General features: G+C 40.5%; 1 annotated feature.

Moving 5' to 3' along the window:
* Positions 16067–16566: an enhancer, noted in NCBI's record as "H3K27ac hESC enhancer chr3:70926235-70926734 (GRCh37/hg19 assembly coordinates)". NCBI's record gives its function as "activates a minimal SCP1, AML or CMV promoter by ChIP-STARR-seq in primed H9 embryonic stem cells {active_cell/tissue: H9 hESC(primed)}" and the evidence as "EXISTENCE:reporter gene assay evidence [ECO:0000049][PMID:30033119]".

The following is a 17077-nucleotide window of genomic DNA, read 5'->3' on the forward strand; positions in this document are numbered from 1 at the left end:
TAGCAAGGTAAGGATGTGACTTTTTTTCTTTCTGAGTACTCCCTTGATTTCAGGTGCTGACTTTTGGATTCACGGTCTGATCATTTGGTGATTTCTGTAAACAGATAATTGGCTCATAAAAATATGGTCTCTGTTGGAACCAACCTGCAAATTGGACTAGAGCCTCCTATCTTGCTCAAATTATTAGTCCTTACCAAATTTTCAGTTCTTACAGTTTCCTTCAATATCCGGCTACAGTCCTCCAAACTGATGTTTCCAATTTTTCCCATCCTGCCTGACTCAACATCACCAAGAACTGAAAACTGAAGGCCCAGATCCCTGTCAGAGTCTAAGTTGCCTTGCAGCTGGCATATTTCCTGAAAATCCGAGGAAGCTTGCAAGCTGAAGCCTAAGGACTTACACACCTCAAAGGACTCATCACTGCAGCAGACCATGCATGGGCCAGAATTCTCCCTGTACAAGTCACTGTCTGGACCACTAAGGAAGTCTGGTATGCATTTATATAAGAGGAAATGAATACTGTGAACAACATCATTCAGAGCATCAACATCCTAGTTCAAGAGTATCCAGAAATTACAATGGCATAATCAAAAGATTTTCCTCCACAGATCTCTTGGAATCCATGGACTGCTACCCTTAGGGTCACCTTCTGGCTGTTTTCTGGAATACAGCCTTTTATATTAGTCTTTTTCTTTTTCATCTTAGAGATTCCTCTTTTAAAATGCCTGATCTCTAGGACTCTAAAACAGAAAGCTTTCCCACAACCTCTCAACAGATGGTTCAACTGATTTTGGAGGAATGCAAACAAGAATCCCTGAGAGACAGTTTCTTATACCTTGCTTGGCCCAGCTCAGGTTATTGATCACCTCTGACAAGTCCAGCAACAAAGTATATTCATTCATCTTGAACGAAAGAAGGGACTGGACTGTTGGACTTGGTCTGAGCCCTATGCTCCCAGAAAGGAGCAACAGTTGAGAAATTCTCCCTACCCTCTTGTATTCTGAGAAAGATCTAACCCCGAAGGACAATGCTGCTCCCACACACTCTGAGCTAAGCCTCACTTTCCCCAATGACTCATAAGAAGTCAAAGATAAGACCCATTTTTTTCATCTTCCTAATGATTCCCATAAGACTTGGGATGACTCCCTTGTTTACTTGCTTCTATAAAAACCCACCCTCTTTTCTTTTTTATTTTTTTTGAGATGTTCCTCATTAACAACATCTTCCTTATTGCAATAGGCTGAATAAAATAATCTCCTTAGTTATTTAAGCATATTGTCTTTCACAGTGGAAGATTTTATTAAAAAACAAATGTGACTGCATGTGTCCTTTAGGATACACCTACACAGAGGTTGGGGGAGGAGTGTTCAAAGTAACGGGGATGGCCACATTTCTAAAAGTTTTATTCGTGGTTGTTCAGGACACACAGTCATTCTCCATAATAGTTTAAACTAATAAAACAATTGTCAATATCTCAGCTGGGGCTGTGTAGACACCTCCTTAAAAACTCTGATCCTCATTAATTTTATCTCTTCCCACAAAACCCAATTATTCATGCCCAGAGAAAAATGGGACCTGAACATTTTCTGACTGGCTGGCTATTTATTTTCTGTAGATGAAATTGAACCACTTGTCAAACTTAAAAAAAAAAAAATAGTTGCTCACTTTCTCCTGCTTATCACTAAGAAGATGTCAATCTAAATCTCTTGTATAGGTCAGTTCCTGATGCTCTCATGTCAAATAGATTTTCTTTCCCCTTCCATCTTCTGTATTTTATAAGCACAGAGAGTGAGAAAAGATAGGAAGATGAAAGAATAGGGGAGAAAAGGTAAAATTAGAGTAAAATATGTAAATTGGAAAACTAAAGAATTTTCCTCCATAATTGAAGATATGATCATCAAGAAGGCCTATCTCTGCAATCTACTTTATCTTCCAATTAAAAGTACAGAGAATAGATCTACCTTTTGACTAATAATAAAAAGTCTAAGTTGCTTATATGGCTTGTGTCATTCAAGTCCTGTTTTCAAAAAATTGCATCCAGAACACTCTATCTTAAGAGGATGAACTGTTATTTCTGTAGCTTTTAATAACTGACAACTCCACATTTAAATCCCTGGCTGTACATAAACTGTCAGCATCCAAATTTGCCCAGACAAACGAATTGGAAAAAACAAAAATAACATGAAGAAAAAATGTGCTATTAACAGCTGTGTAAATAACAGCGGCAACATTAACTAATAAAAGGAAACCAGCAATCTCAGTAAGAACCCAAGAAGGAATTCAAGTTGCTACAAGTAGATTTAGAAGGATTGACTGCTGTTTGTTTCCTTCCAAAATTTAGTTTGTCTTTCCAAGTTAACTGTATCAAGGAGTCTGGAGGAAAACCTTTCACAGCAAAGTCTTAGGCCGGGCACGGTGGCTCACGCCTGTAATCCCAAAGCTTTGGGAGGCCAAGGTGGCCAGGCAGATCACTTGAGCCCAGGAGTTCTAGACCAGCCTGGGCAACATGGTGAGACCCTGTCTCTACAAAAAATACAAAAACTAGCCAGGCACAGTGATGCACGCTTGTAGTCCCAGCTACTCGGGAGGCTGAGGTGGGAGGATCACTTGAGCCCAGGAGATCCAGGCTGTGATGAGACATGACCACACCATTGCACTCCAGCCTGGGTGACAGAGCAAGACTATCTAAAAAAAAAAAAGAAAAGAAAAGAAAAGAAAAGAAAAGAAAAGAAAAAAACTCTTAGATTATTAAATAAGAAATAAGAATCAAGTGAAAATGTTTTATACTTACTGTAGAGAGAGAAAGGAAAAGAGAGCCAGTTATTATTCTTTTCCCTAATCATTTGTCTTCACATTTATATTTGACTAGGACTGCAAAGTTGCTCCAGTTTCAAAAATTGAGTGAAGAAACCTCACTCCCTTCAGAGCAGCAACTGTACTATCTTAGTCGAAGCCCCTTTGGTTGCTGGTGATAGAAACGCTTTCAAAGTTGCTCAAGCAAAACAAGGGACTTTTATTAAAAAGCTTCCAGGGAAAAATCACTGGTAACTCAACAGAGGGAAGTACAACTGGGTCTTGTCAAGAAATAATGATCAGGTACCTGAAATTTCTCCATGCTGGAGACCAAGGATGAAGGAGACCATCAGAGTTCCCAGTCCCAGGTGGGCTTGCATTCTAGTGGGAGGAAACAGACCATGAAAACACAGTGAAGTAAATAAGTACGTCAAGTGCCAATCAATGGTTGCTATGAAGAGGATAAAGTAAGTATGTATTACACAAAATCAGATGAAATGAGCCCTGGAATTTGAGGGAGGTGGGAAGTGGGAGGGCTTGTTGCATTGGGAAGATGTTCCTTTAATAGATGGCACTTCTATTGAGACCTGAATAAATTGAAAGTGGCTGGAGCTCTGAGTCATACAAAATCTAGGGGCACCACTTTGCAAGCAGAAGGAACCAGTCAAAAGCTGAGAGACTAGAGCAGCACTGTCCAATAAAAATATGATGTGATTTTTAAATTTTACTCAAGTAATTTTTCAATTTTCTAGTTGCCACATTTAAAAAAAGCAAAAAAGGAACAGATGAAATTATTTTTAACATATTTCATTTAACCTAACATAACCAGTATATTGTCATTTCATTTCAACATATAATTAATTTAAAAGCCATGAATGAGATGTTTTACATTTTTTTATACTGTCTTCAAAATCTAGTATGTACTTTATCCTAAAAACACATCTCAATGTGAATGCTGAAGTTCCGACAGTTAAAGTGAAATGTAATTCTACCAAAACAATAAAGTCATGTTTAATGGGAAAATGTTTTATGCTCCTTCAGTTCCTAAGTTAAAATGTAAATTAATTAAAATGTAATTTAATTTAAAATCTCAGCTCCGCAGTTGCCCTTATCATATTTCAAGTGTTCAGGAGCTATGTTTAGCTCACGGCTACCATTTTAGACAGGACAGGACAGGACTGGAGGACACAGAGTGAGGTAGAATGAAGGTAGATGCAGTTGAGAAGAAAGAGCCAGCCATGTAAGCCTCGGCAAATAATTAGAAATTTGGGTTTTATTCTAAGTGTAATAAACGGCTATTACAAGGTATATTACTTTCTTATTTCTCATGTAACAAATTATCACAAATGCAGAGACTCAACACAAATGTACTATCTTACAACTCTGGAGGTTAGAAGTCTGAAATGACTTATATGGAACTAAAATCAAGGTGTCTATTAAGCTGTTTTTTTTTCTGAAAGTCCCAAGGGAGAATCCATTCCTGGCTTCTTTCACATTACGGAGGTTGCTGGCATTCCTTGGCTTGTGGCTGCATCACTCCAACTTTGCTTCTGTTGTCACATCACATCTTCCCCTGTCTACCTGACCCTTCTGCCTTCTTCTTGCAAGAACCCTTGTGATTACAGTGGTTCCACTTAAATATTCCACAATAATACCCCCATCTCAAGATTCTTAACTTCATCTGCAAAGTCTCTTTTGCCATGTGAGGTAATGTATTCACAGGCATTGGAGAATATGTGGACATTGTAGGAGAGGAAAAATATCTTTTACCTTCTATCCTTCTAGGTTCTTGGCTGGGTCTCTGAAACAAAAGACAGATTAACAACAGAAAAGCTTACAAATTTATTTAATGTAAGTTTCATGTGACATGGAAGACTTCATAAAAAAATGAAGCCAAAGACAGAGTTAAACCTGAGTGTTTTTATACCAGTTTTGATGAAGAGGGGAGAGTCATGGAAAAAAAATGATAGGACAAAAGGGGTATAAGCTACCTGCAACAAACAGGGGGAACTTAACAAGGCTTGTTCATTCAGATTCTTCTCAGCAGCCTTTTGTCTTTGGAGATAAAGATGCTCTTTTCCTCCAAGTACAGGGAGAGCATTTCTCACATGATCTGCTTCAGGGGAAGTTCAGAGAGTCCTTCCTGCACCTGCCATTTCTCAAATTCCTTCAGTTTAAAATATTCAATATGCCAAGACCGTATTTGAGGGTAGCATGTCTTGAGCCCCATCAGTATCTTTGGGAGGGGGCATTATTTATCCTTTCGAAGAGGGTTTTAACACAGGAGAAGGAGCATGATTTCATATATTCTTTAGAAAAATAACACTAACTATTAGGTACAGAATGTCCTACCCATAAAGAAATAAGAAAATAGGAAAAGAGGTTGTTCCACACAAACCCAGATGACAGTGGGTGAACGCATCATGGAAAAATGCTAGGTTTTGTCTGTCTAGTACCTCACCTACTCTCCCTTGAGAAAACTACTCACCACCACATCAGTTATGAGCTTGAAAGAACTCCCAGGGCTTTGGGTCCCCTGGTGAAAATGAATACAGGCCTCAAGCCCAGCCAATCATCATAGTTCATTCACCCGGCCAAGATGGCTGGTCCAGGAATGTGCATGTGCCTCCAAGTGAATTTTTCATCTTGAATTGTTGAGTTTGGAACTGGAATAAAAACTGGTCTTATCTCCTGGCTTATAGACTTGAAAGCATGAAAATCAGGGGCTACAAGCAGCTGTCTCTGCTGCCATATGAAGAGAACTTCTCTGCTGAGAGACAGAATGAAGCCTGCTCAAAGAATAAGATGGAGCCTGGGAAGAAAAGAACAAATCCTGACAACAGTTTGTGTTCCCGTATCAAGTCATGTCTGAAGCATCACTCTTGGGCTCTCTGGCTGCATGACACAAATGGATTTCCTTTTTTTGCTTATGTAAGTGTCAGTTGTGTTGCTGTCACTTGCAACCAAAAGCATCCTGGCTAATATGGGTCTCAAAAGGAATGGGAACTAGACATGGATACACCTTCTCTCCTTATCTCCGAGACTATATATTCTCTCATTCTTGCTTCTCTGCATTCGGATTCCTTCATCTCTTTCCCTGCAGAACAGCTCTCTCAGCTTTTGTATCATTTGACAAAGATGGTCCTTTCTGAAAACATCCAGCAGGGACCAACATGAATGAATCCCAAAGAGAAATTCCCAGGAAAGAGAATGTGTACAGCCCAGCTTGGGTCTGGTGACTCCACAAGGTTCAGAGGGCCTATCCCTTGGGAAGTAGTGGTGGAGGCATGTCTTAGAGCAGGGTTCACATGGGCAGGGTGCACACTCAATTGTTGACCATCGTATACAAACTCCTGTCTACCACTCTTCCTCCCTAACACCTTCCCAAAATAGCTCAGAGTACATCTATGTGATTAAAGAATGGAATTAAAAAACTCCTTTCTTCTGTGATTTCAGACCCAGGTAGAAGAAAAAAGTGCTCTCTCCTTGCCCAACTCTGTTATTTAGAGAAGAGATGCCTGGGTTTAATCTATAAACCAACTTGCTACCAGTTTACCAGCTTAGTTTAGAAATAACAATTTGTATATTGGCTCATAAGCTTCTGAGTTTATTTTGAGCCACTTTCTAGATTTGTAGGGTCAGAGGTGGGGACATGATGCAGATCAGAAAAAACAGGAAGTAAACAGCTAAATAGTTAGCTCTTTACCAGAATGATAAATGAAGGTCAACAATCTTGCAGCTCAATAAAGTAGTACTAGGCTTAAGATGATTTGCAAACCATCTCATCAACACTGCAGTTTATTTCCAACTATATTCCATACCAAGTGGCAATGTGCCAGAATCTTGTTTTTTAAAAAAACCTACCCAGTTGAGAGAGAGAGAGACGATGATAGTTGAACATTAATCAAACTGATATAGATTTTTATGATGATTGAATCTCCAACAACCATTGCTTATCCATTCACCCATTCAACAAATATTTACTGAGTTTCTATGATAACTCATGCACTGTTCTTGGTTTTATTATAAGAGATGGGGTTTCACCATGTTAGCCAGGCTGGTCTCGAACTCCCAACCTCAGGTGATCTGCCCACCTCAGCATCCCAAAGTGCTGGGATTACAGGTGTGAGCCACCGTGCCTGGCCAACATTATCATTTTAATGCAGCTTGCTTTGATTCTTGGTCATAACCTAAGCTTCATAGCCAAAGGAGTTGCAAATTCATATTTTTACCTTTTCTCAAGTTTGAAAACTATGAGATCTGTTTTTTATAAGATTCAATATTAATGTATTATAAATGAGCATCAGTAAAACTGATATTTTATGCAAGCAATTGCCAAAGCAACAAGCAAATGGCAGTGACATTTCCCCCCTGCTGTGGTCTAAACATGCCTCCCAAAATTCATGTTTTGGGAACTTAATCCCCACATGCAATAGTGTCGGGAAATGGGGCCTAATGGGAAGTGTTTAGGTCATGAAGCCTTCATCTACATGGATGGATTGTTGCTGCTATGAAAAGGGCTTGTGAAAGTGAGTGGACATTGTCTTCCTCTCTTGCTGTCTCTCTCTTCTGCTGTTCTGTCATGTGATGATATGGTGTTCCTCCACTCAGGAGGATGCAATGGTTAAGGTGCCATCCTTGAAGCAGAGAAACTGGCCCTAACCTGCCAGTGCCCTGATCTTGGACTTCCCAGCCTCCAGAACTGTGAGAGAATAAGTTTACGTTGTTTATAAATTACCCAGTCATGGTTATTCTGTTATAGCAGCACAAACAGAATAAGATATGAACCCCCCTCACCCTGCTCCCCACTCGGTTAAATGCTCAAGATGTGAATTCTCTTTGAGATTGCTTTTCATGGGCAGGATGAGAAGGCTACTCAGCAAGCAAAATTTGGAGGATGAACCAATTGTTTTACTTTCTTCATTTGCAAGATTTCTATACTTCATTATATGCATGGTCAGCAATCAACTTCTCTCTTGGTTCTAAAATTAACATATATAACTGATCAAACATTTTCACTGTAATGTTCTTGGTATCTGGCCCCCCCGACATGAGCACAAGTGAAAACCTGCTCTGAGATTTGCAGCTGCTTTGTGAATACCATCTCTAAATCATGCATGCTCTGTCCTTTCCCTTCCTAGACAGACAGAAAGAAAGAAGGATATGAAGCCCTCTGCTTTGTTGTTCACCATTGTACTGAATGACATATAATGCAGTCTAGAGTTTATTTCTTTTTTGTTTATTGTCTATGTATTCCCACTAGAATAGAAGCTACCTGAGAGTAGAGATTTTTGTATTTTTGTTCTCTATGTTCCCATATACCTAGAATAGTGCATACGTTATGGTAGAAACTCTGTAAATATTTGTTGAATGAATGAATGGATAAGCAATTGTTGCTGGAGATTCAATCTTCATAAAAATCTATATTAGTTTGATCGATGTTCAACTATCATCACCCCTCTGCTGGTTATACCCCTGCCAATTTCTGCTGCCTCTTCCTGCAGCAAATGTCCTACCCCACTCCACTGTGTGCTCCAGATCTACTCTCAGTCCCCCAAGCTTACTGTGTTCCTTTCTGAGTCCTGCTCTAGAGTTTTTGTTCATTTTCATCCCTCTCTGTCAGGAAGTATCCCTACTAGGCTGCAGTGCCCTGAGGACATAAACTCTGATTTTGCTCTCTATAGCATTACCATCATACCTGACACATGGTAGGTTATAGGGGAATAATGCTGCCCTCTCCAAAGATGTCCACATTTTATCCTCGAAACCTGTGAATATGTTACTTTACATGGCAAAGAAGCTTTGCAGATGTGACTAAGTGAAGCATGTTGAGTTGAAGAGATTATCCTGGAATACCTGAGTGGGCGCAATGTAATCACAGGGGTCCTTAAAAGAGGAACACAGGAGGGTCAGTGACAGAGACTGAGATATGACAACAGAAGCAGAGGTTGAAGTGATGTGAGGCCAGGAGCCAAGTAATTTGGGCAGCCTCTACAAGCTGGGAATGGTGAAAAAACAGGTTCTCTTTCAGAGCACCCAGAAGGAATACAGCCCTGTCATCTCCTTGACTCTAGCCCAGTGAGACAAGTTTTAGACTTCTGACCTCCAAAACTGTGAAACAATAAATTTATATTGTTTTAAGTCACTAAATTCGGGGTGATTTCTTACCACAGCAATTGGAAATTAATACACAGGTGCTTATGAAATATTTATGGAATGACTAAAGATATAAGTAATAGATAAGGATTCATTAGGAAACAAGATAGACCCAGAAATCTTAATTTCATTGTCTCATTAATTAACTCAGACATATACAATTAATCATCAATATGCTGAGATTTCAAAAAAGAAATCCCAGAAACTATGGGGATATATACTAGAGAAAAGGTAGATATATGACTACCTTAAGGACATACACTTTCTTTAATGCATCAAATACCCTCACAACAAAAAATCCAACTTCTACAACAGTGCTCAGCAATGCAACTTTTACACAAACTTTCCTAAATGAGGCAAAAGGGAGGATTACCTGTTGAACTATTTAACAAAACAAAAGGGGTCAGGTTAAATTTTCCTAAAAGAAGTGTTATTCAAACTGGCAGAAATTTGTGTAACTTCACAGGGCCACTACTTTTGGCTGAAGTTCAGGAGGAAAGTATTTCTTTTCATTGATCTCTGTTGATGACCCACATTGGTTGGTTGTTTTAATTTCATGTTTAGATTTTCTAGTGAACTGTTTATGACTGTGAGGATCAATGAGGCTCCTCTTTCCCATAAATCCCTCCATTGACACAAAGCTTTTTGAGAACAAATGTAACCTAGATGCAATAGCCTCACTCCAAGCAGTTTTTGTCTTTGCTCTATAGCTACCTTAAGGCCATACACTACTCTTAATGCACCAAACACACTCATAACAAATGATCTAACTCCTAAAACATTGCTTGGCAATGCACCTTTTATACAAGCTTTCCTAATGAGGCAAAAGAGAGGATTATCTGTTGAACCATTTAACAATACTTAATCCTATTTATTCTTCACTGCCCCTCTCTGTATTCCAACCTCCTTCCTCCAGATATCCTGTAAAAAATCTTTACTTTCCCTGACCAGAGCTCTGTGCCCTTAGGTAGCATATCTTACTCAGCAAACCAAAAGCAATAGGATGCAGAGGCTTAGCAAAAAAGAAAAGGAGAAAAATACTATCCTGGACCCTTTCCTGTTTCAAATAGACCTTGCTCTCCAATGCCTTAGGGGAAAAATGTCTGCTATGGTTTGAATGTGTCCCCCAAATTCATGTTTTGGAAACTTAATGCCCAATGCAACAGTGTTGGGAGGTATGGCCTGTGTGAGGCAATGGGGTCTTGAGGGCTCTGCATTATGGACTAATTAATGCTGTTATCACAGGAGTGGACTCATGATATGGTTTGGCTGTTTTCCAACCCAAATCTCACCTTGAATTATGATAATCTCCACATGTCAAGGACAGGGCGAGGTGGAGATAATTGAATCATGCAGGCAGTTTCCTCATACTGTTCTTGTGGTAGTGAACAAGTCTCACGAGATCTGATGGTTTTATAAATGGGAGTTTCCCTGAACAAGCTCTCTCTTGCCTGCTGCCATGTAAGAAGTGCCTTTGCTCCTTCTTTGAGTTTCACCATGATTGTGAGGACTCCCCAGCCATGTGGGACTCTGAGTCCATTAAACTTCTTTTTCTTTATAAATGACCCAGTATTAGGTATTTCTTCATAGCCGTATGAAAATAGACTAATACAGTTCATTATTGCAGAAGTAGCTTTGCCATAAAATTGAACTCTGTCTTGCACGTGCTCTCTTGCCCATCGGCCTATTCACCATGGGATGACCCTTGCCTGACATTGGCACCATGCTCTTGGACTTCCCCACCTTCAGAACTGTAAGCCAAATAAACTTCTTTTCTTTATAAATTACCCAGTCTGTAGTATTCTGTTACAGCAACAGAAAATGGACTAAGACAAAGGCAAAAAGCAAGAGAAACACAAGAAGCTAATATTTGGGTTTGGGGCTTGCAAGAATCCAGCTCTTGATGATTTTAAATTCATATTCATGGGCAGGTTTTATTTTTATTGTACATAATTTTCTCCCTAATTACTGACTTTAGAAACAAACTCTATTTGAACGTGATAAAGTCTGTGGTGTTCCAGCAACATTGCTCTTGATACAATAGCCCAGAAAAGGAAAGAGAAAAGGGTCACTTTAGCTGGGCCTTGAAGGATAGATGACTAGGATCTCAGCAGGGGGTGATATTGGGAAAGATCCTGCTTCATTCCTTGCTCCTGACCTTGCAGCCTCTTGTCTTGCGTAATTTCTGCTGTAGGCATTCTAGCCACACTTGCTTTCTGTGGATTTCATAGCTTTTGCACTTACTGCACTCTTTTCCTGATCTCTTCCTTCCTCACTTCCAGTCCTTGGCCCTGTTGACACTTTTCCTCTCTCAGATCTCATTTCAGTGATCATTCCTTTACACATTACAAAATACAGCATCCTTTAGTGTGACTATTTGTTCAGTGCACAGCTCCCTCACTAGACCATCAATTCCATAAGGGAGTAAATCAGCCTGCTCTTCCTGTCTGCTTTACGACATCCAGAGCATGAGCTTAACAAATACTTTCTGAATGAAAGAATGGATGCTATCTACAATAGATCTAAGGGCGCCAGAATTTGAATTGTAGATATAGGCAGAGCAGTTTCCATCTCTTGCCACTTTGAACCCCTTGGTGTTGGTGCTATGTTGGGAAAGACTTTGAGGTTACACTCAGACTTATTACAAGAGAACTCCTTGGCCTTCTGTGGTGGAGCAAGTCAGTCTCTGGGCCATGAATTACCTACCATCTATGAAAAAACAAAGGCTTAGTTGCCTTTTGATTTATCCTTTAGTATCTAAAACAATCATTTTATTCCCTTATTAAAAACACTTGGGATACCTTCCCCCCACCCACCCACCCTGGAGAAATTCCCATGGGGATTGTTTCAGGTTTACTTGCCTTCCATAGTTATAGATTTTGGAGTCACAGACAGCATATATAGCCAAATAGTGATCGTCCATACCAGGAAATAGGAGAGGCAACTTATAAGATACTGAAGATATGCTAGAACTCACCTGTGTGCCAGTTTAGTAGCCTGGCCTGCCTTCTCAACGATTGAGATTCCTTGGAGCTTTTGTCATTCTCCTGACTTAAGTTGACATACTTTTGGCATCAGCTTCACAATTCTACTTTGTGCCATCAGGCAGCACCGAACCATTGTCTCAGAGTCATTTTGACAATCGGAAGTCACATTCAAGTGACAAGGAAATTATTGCTAAAATAAAAAAAGTTGAGAGAAGTGATTATTGTGTATTCTCATTATCTGGCTTTCAAACTTAAATATTTTGGCCATTAGAAAGCATTTGTTTTTTAAAATAAAATGAAAAACATAGACTGCATTCATTCAAAGGGGGTTTCTTAGAAACCAGATTTTTTTTTTTAACTTTTTAATGAGACACTTAGCAAACATGGGTAGAAACTGTCAGCTTTTCAGGAATAATCTGTCAGAGATTGGGAAAAGTTAGTTTTAAGGAGAAAAATGGTATAGCAAATCAAGGTTCGGTTACATTTCCAGAACTACCTGGCCTTAGTCTATTCTAATATCCATTGACATCAAAACGTCCATTAAACCTTAAGCTCCTACAGGTAAAACTGACATGACACTATTAAATATTTGAATTTCTGCTCAATAAGTAAGCTTCTCATGATTTGGCTTCCCTACTGGTTGTGCCAGAAACTGACATTCTTATCCCAAGTACTGGGGTCTGTGGGTGGGATGTGGGGACCCATGAACCCCTTTAAATTATATTGAAGTGATTGAGAGCTTGTACATTTTTCTGGAGAGAAGACTTACAGCTATCTTCTTGATCTCAAAACTTTCCACGAACCCCAAAGATTAAGAACCCACTGGCCCCTTACAATGTAGACCTCATGTGAATTACGTCTCCTAGTAAACTAAAAATTTGATTTTCTGGCTTTGTCAGTCTTGCAGACATGGTCAGATTGTGCAATGCATAGCCTGCATATCCACATGTAGGTGTGTAACTTGCTAAACATGGGTGCGTCCTGGGTGAGTGGGGGAGAAAGGAAGAGAGACAGAAAGAGATCTGTGGGTTCGCCGCTAGACCTTGATGAATTATCTAAGATTCTTGATGACACTCCTAAAGATTCTTCTTATCACTACTGACTAAAAATACACCTTTTCCTATTTGAATCTCCTTCATAAGCCCTTCATTAAAAAATGGTTCACTTAATTAATAGTCTAAGGCACATTTAGTAAATTAGACTTGCTTTTAAATTTCCTTATGTGAGTTCTAACTGATTTTATGCTTGAGCCTGAAGAAGGACAATTTTTTTTAAGCCAGCTTTCTCTGTAAGAGCCTTGGCAAGAAATAGAAAACTTTCATTTTTCTCAGGGAAAAATAAACAGGGGCTAGAAAGGTATGGAGGATGAAGTGAGAGGTTTACAGGTTCAGCTCTGAGTGCGGTACAGTTGGCCGGAACCTCAGTGACATGTTGTTTATGAATGCGCACAGATCCTGGAAAGCATCTGCCAAAGAGGCCAAACAGCTGTAGTCAATCCCTTATTAGAACACTGTTTGTCTGAATTTGGTAAATATCACCACACTGCACAGGTCATTGAGATATATTGGATACATTTTATGCTAAGTATCTCAAGGGAAATACTTGGAGATAACCAGTACAGGGGGGACCCTGGAAGCTTTTTCTACAAAGTTGTAGGAAAACAGGACAGAGTTTTCCCAGGTTGCTATTCTGTGCTAGCATCAGATGAGAATCACCCCCTGGTTTTCGGAGATGAGTGTGCCCCCCTTCTGCATTGGCAAATCCTTGATTGGGGCTTCTCAGAGGTCAGTTCCTGCCCAAAGGAGGTCAGACAGGGAGCTCTCTGTTCCACCCAAGCCAGCATTCCAGAGGTCCACGGAGCCTCATCCATCTTGGACAAGTGGGTTGCAAGGAGTAGCTGCAGGATACTGTGCCTGCCTTATGGCAGTCACTACAGCAAGGTGCTTATGCAAACTAGACTTGGAGGTGACTTAGGTCCAAATCCCAGCTCTGCCAATTTCTAGCTGAGTCCTTGCTTAAGTCATTTACTCCTCCTGAGTATAATGAGGATACTCATTTGCTCTGCTATCATTTGCTTTGCTTGTCCCCTCCAAATCTCATGTTGAAACCTGATCCCCAGTGCTGTAGGCAGGACCTAATGGGAGGTGTTTGGGCCATGGGGGCGGATCCCTCATGAATGGCTTGGTGATGTCCTTGCAGTAATGAGTGAGCTCTCACTTTATTAGTTCCTACTAGAGCTGCTTGTTAAAAAGAGCCTGCCCCCTCCCCTCTCTCTCTTGCCTCTCTTTCCATGTTGTCTGTGCACACACCAGCTCCTCTCCACCTTCTGCCATGAGTAGAAGCAGCCTGAGGCCCTTACCAGAGGTTGAGCAGGTACCAACACCATGAATCTTGTACAGCCTGCAGAACGGTGAGCCAAATAAACCCCTTTTCTTTATAAAGTACCCAGCCTCACATACTCCATTATAGCAAAACAAATGGACTGAGACAATGTCTTTCTCACAGGGAAGTATGACTTCATGAGATGCAGAGGGTGGTGCTTGACACTCCGTAATAACCCAGCGTTTGTATCTTTTATTATAATTTTTCATTGTCATCATTATCATTTATGTCACCTCATCTTAGCATAACAGCCCACTTTCCCTCCCATTTTAACTACAGCAAATCCTTGGAATGGGGGCTTTTGCTGAGTAGTTTGTTTTTGTTTTGTTTTTGTTTTTGTTTTTGTTTTTTTGAGACAGAGTTTCACTCTTGTTGCCCAGGCTAGAGTGCAGTGGTGCAATCTCGGCTCACTGCAACCCCTGCCTCCCAGGTTCAAGCGATTTTTCTGCCTCAGCCTCCTGAGTAGCTGGGATTACAGGCATCCGCCACCATGCCTGGCTAATTTTCTGTATGTTTAGTAGAGACGGGGTTTCGCCATGTTCGCCAGACTGGTCTCAAACTCCTGACCTCAGGTGATCCACCAGCATCAGCCACCCAAAGTGCTGGGATTACAGGCATGAGCCACCATGCCACATAGTTTTTAAATAATTAATTATAAGCATGCTCTAGCAAGCAAAGGAAGAAAATATTCAACCATGAACCCTCAAACACTCAGATCAACCCTATAAATCCAGCCATCCAGCCTCAAAGACAAGCTTTACTGGCCTTGTCTTCCCAAAACAAGAAGGAAGCTAGAAGTCTTCACTGAACTCCAATATTTGAGTCTTGGTTTTGCATCCATGCTGTGCTAGTTGGTGATTCATGTGCTGAAAAGATGCTCCAGAGTTTAGTTTATGATGATCTCTTCAAAATAAATGGTCAAAATAAGCCAATAGTTTGCTTTAAAATGTATTTTTAAAATATAAGTATCAGGTAGTGTTCAACTGACCTATCACCTGGAATCTTAGAAGCTAACATTGCGTAACTACTCACTGGATGTCAACCATTCTGCTGTGTTATTTATTTTAGTCCTCACGACAATCTAATAAATTGGGTCCTGTTATTATCCTCATTTTATGTCTGAGTAACTTGAAGCTTAAAGATGTTAAGGAGCTTGGCAGAAGTCAAACAGCTACGAAGTATGATAATATATGTAACACATTTAGAATAATATTGGATGTAGTCAACCCTCATTAATATTACCTGCTGCTTCTGCTGCTACTATTGGTGCTATCATTTTCATCATCATTATTATTAAAGGACAAATCACCATTTGAACTCAGGCAATGAAATTTTAGAATCTGTGTTCTTAAACACTACACATATACTGCCCCCCACACACATAAAAAAATTCCACTCCAAGGAATTACCACACTTTTTCACCCTGACCAAGAGAAAACACGGAACCAATCATGGTTAAGCCCCCAGACCCCCTGAGCAAGTTTTCAGAGAAAATAAACTAAAAGAAGCAATGCTGAGAGTGAGGCACAAGGGCAGAGCCAACCCTGCTCTGATGGGCAGATCTGCGGGTGGGGGGCCTGTAGCAGGAGGCCCCCTGCACTATGGCAGGGCTAAGCTTCCATGGGGCAGGAGGGGACAGCGACAGTTCATGTCTGAATCAGATTTGAGAGCTGCTTCCACCTCTCTGATTTCTGCACACAAACCAGCAATAACGACTCGGGTCCAGCAGCAATTAAGCCATGGTCAGAGAATGATCACTGGCATTGCCTTCATCCACAGCCCCCAGCTGTGTGAGGAGTGGGATGGGCCCACGGAGGAGGGTAGATCTTTCTTTCCCTGCTTTGTCTACTTTACCCAAGTACGCAGGCCTCTTCCTACTGCAATAGCTGCTTTGAGTCCTTGTGGTCACGTTATAGAGGAGCGTAAAATAGCAGTTCTTCAGCTCCCTGTCCTGCTCCCAACTTGAAAAGGCCTTTCCTGAACACATGTCTAGTTGACTCTAGCTCGAAGGACTTTTCTGACCTACTGTGAAGAGGCAGAAAACATGCGGAAAGTAATTTTTATCACCAATCTTATCACAAAGCACAGATCCAAGAATATTGCTGAACAGTAGCAAAGAGTTGGCCACAGTGGCTTGCTATATGTAGCCAAAATTCCAGTCAGCATCAGGAATAATCAGAGAGAGAAATCCTCAATTCTGGCTGCAATACATAGTTCACAAAACTCACATTTAGTGTGCTTTATCAGGTAGAGTTCTTTTCTTGCAAAAATACAGAAATGAACTCTAGCTAACATAAGCAGAGAAAGAGTTTATTGGGAGGAGAACATGTTGGAATGCTCTCAGATGCAAGGGAAGGAGTATTTCACTATAAGTGACTTAAACAAATGAGGGTTTAATTTTCTTCAACAGCAAGGATCCTGAAAGGAGATTGTCACTGGGTTTGCTTTAATGGCTGAACAGTGTAAGAACTGAGTGCCTGTGATTCTATTGGCTTTTGTCTCATGGCCACAAAATGGCTGCCAGAGCACCAAGCTACATCAACCTGCAAGTCAGGAGGAAGGGGAAGGAATAGCTGTTTCTGTCTCTTTTATCAGGCAAGCAAATTTCTCCTTTAGTCTCTCTGATCAGAATGGTATCATCTGGACACCTGATCCTTAGTGCAAGAGAGGCTGGGAAAGTGAATATTTTTTAGTCTCTATAGGGAAGAACATAAAAAAGAGGGGATTGGAGATGGGCATTGGGTTCACTCAGAGTTTCT

The sequence above is a fragment of the Homo sapiens genome, chromosome 3, assembly GCF_000001405.40.
Source record: "Homo sapiens chromosome 3, GRCh38.p14 Primary Assembly".
NCBI lineage: Eukaryota > Metazoa > Chordata > Mammalia > Primates > Hominidae > Homo > Homo sapiens.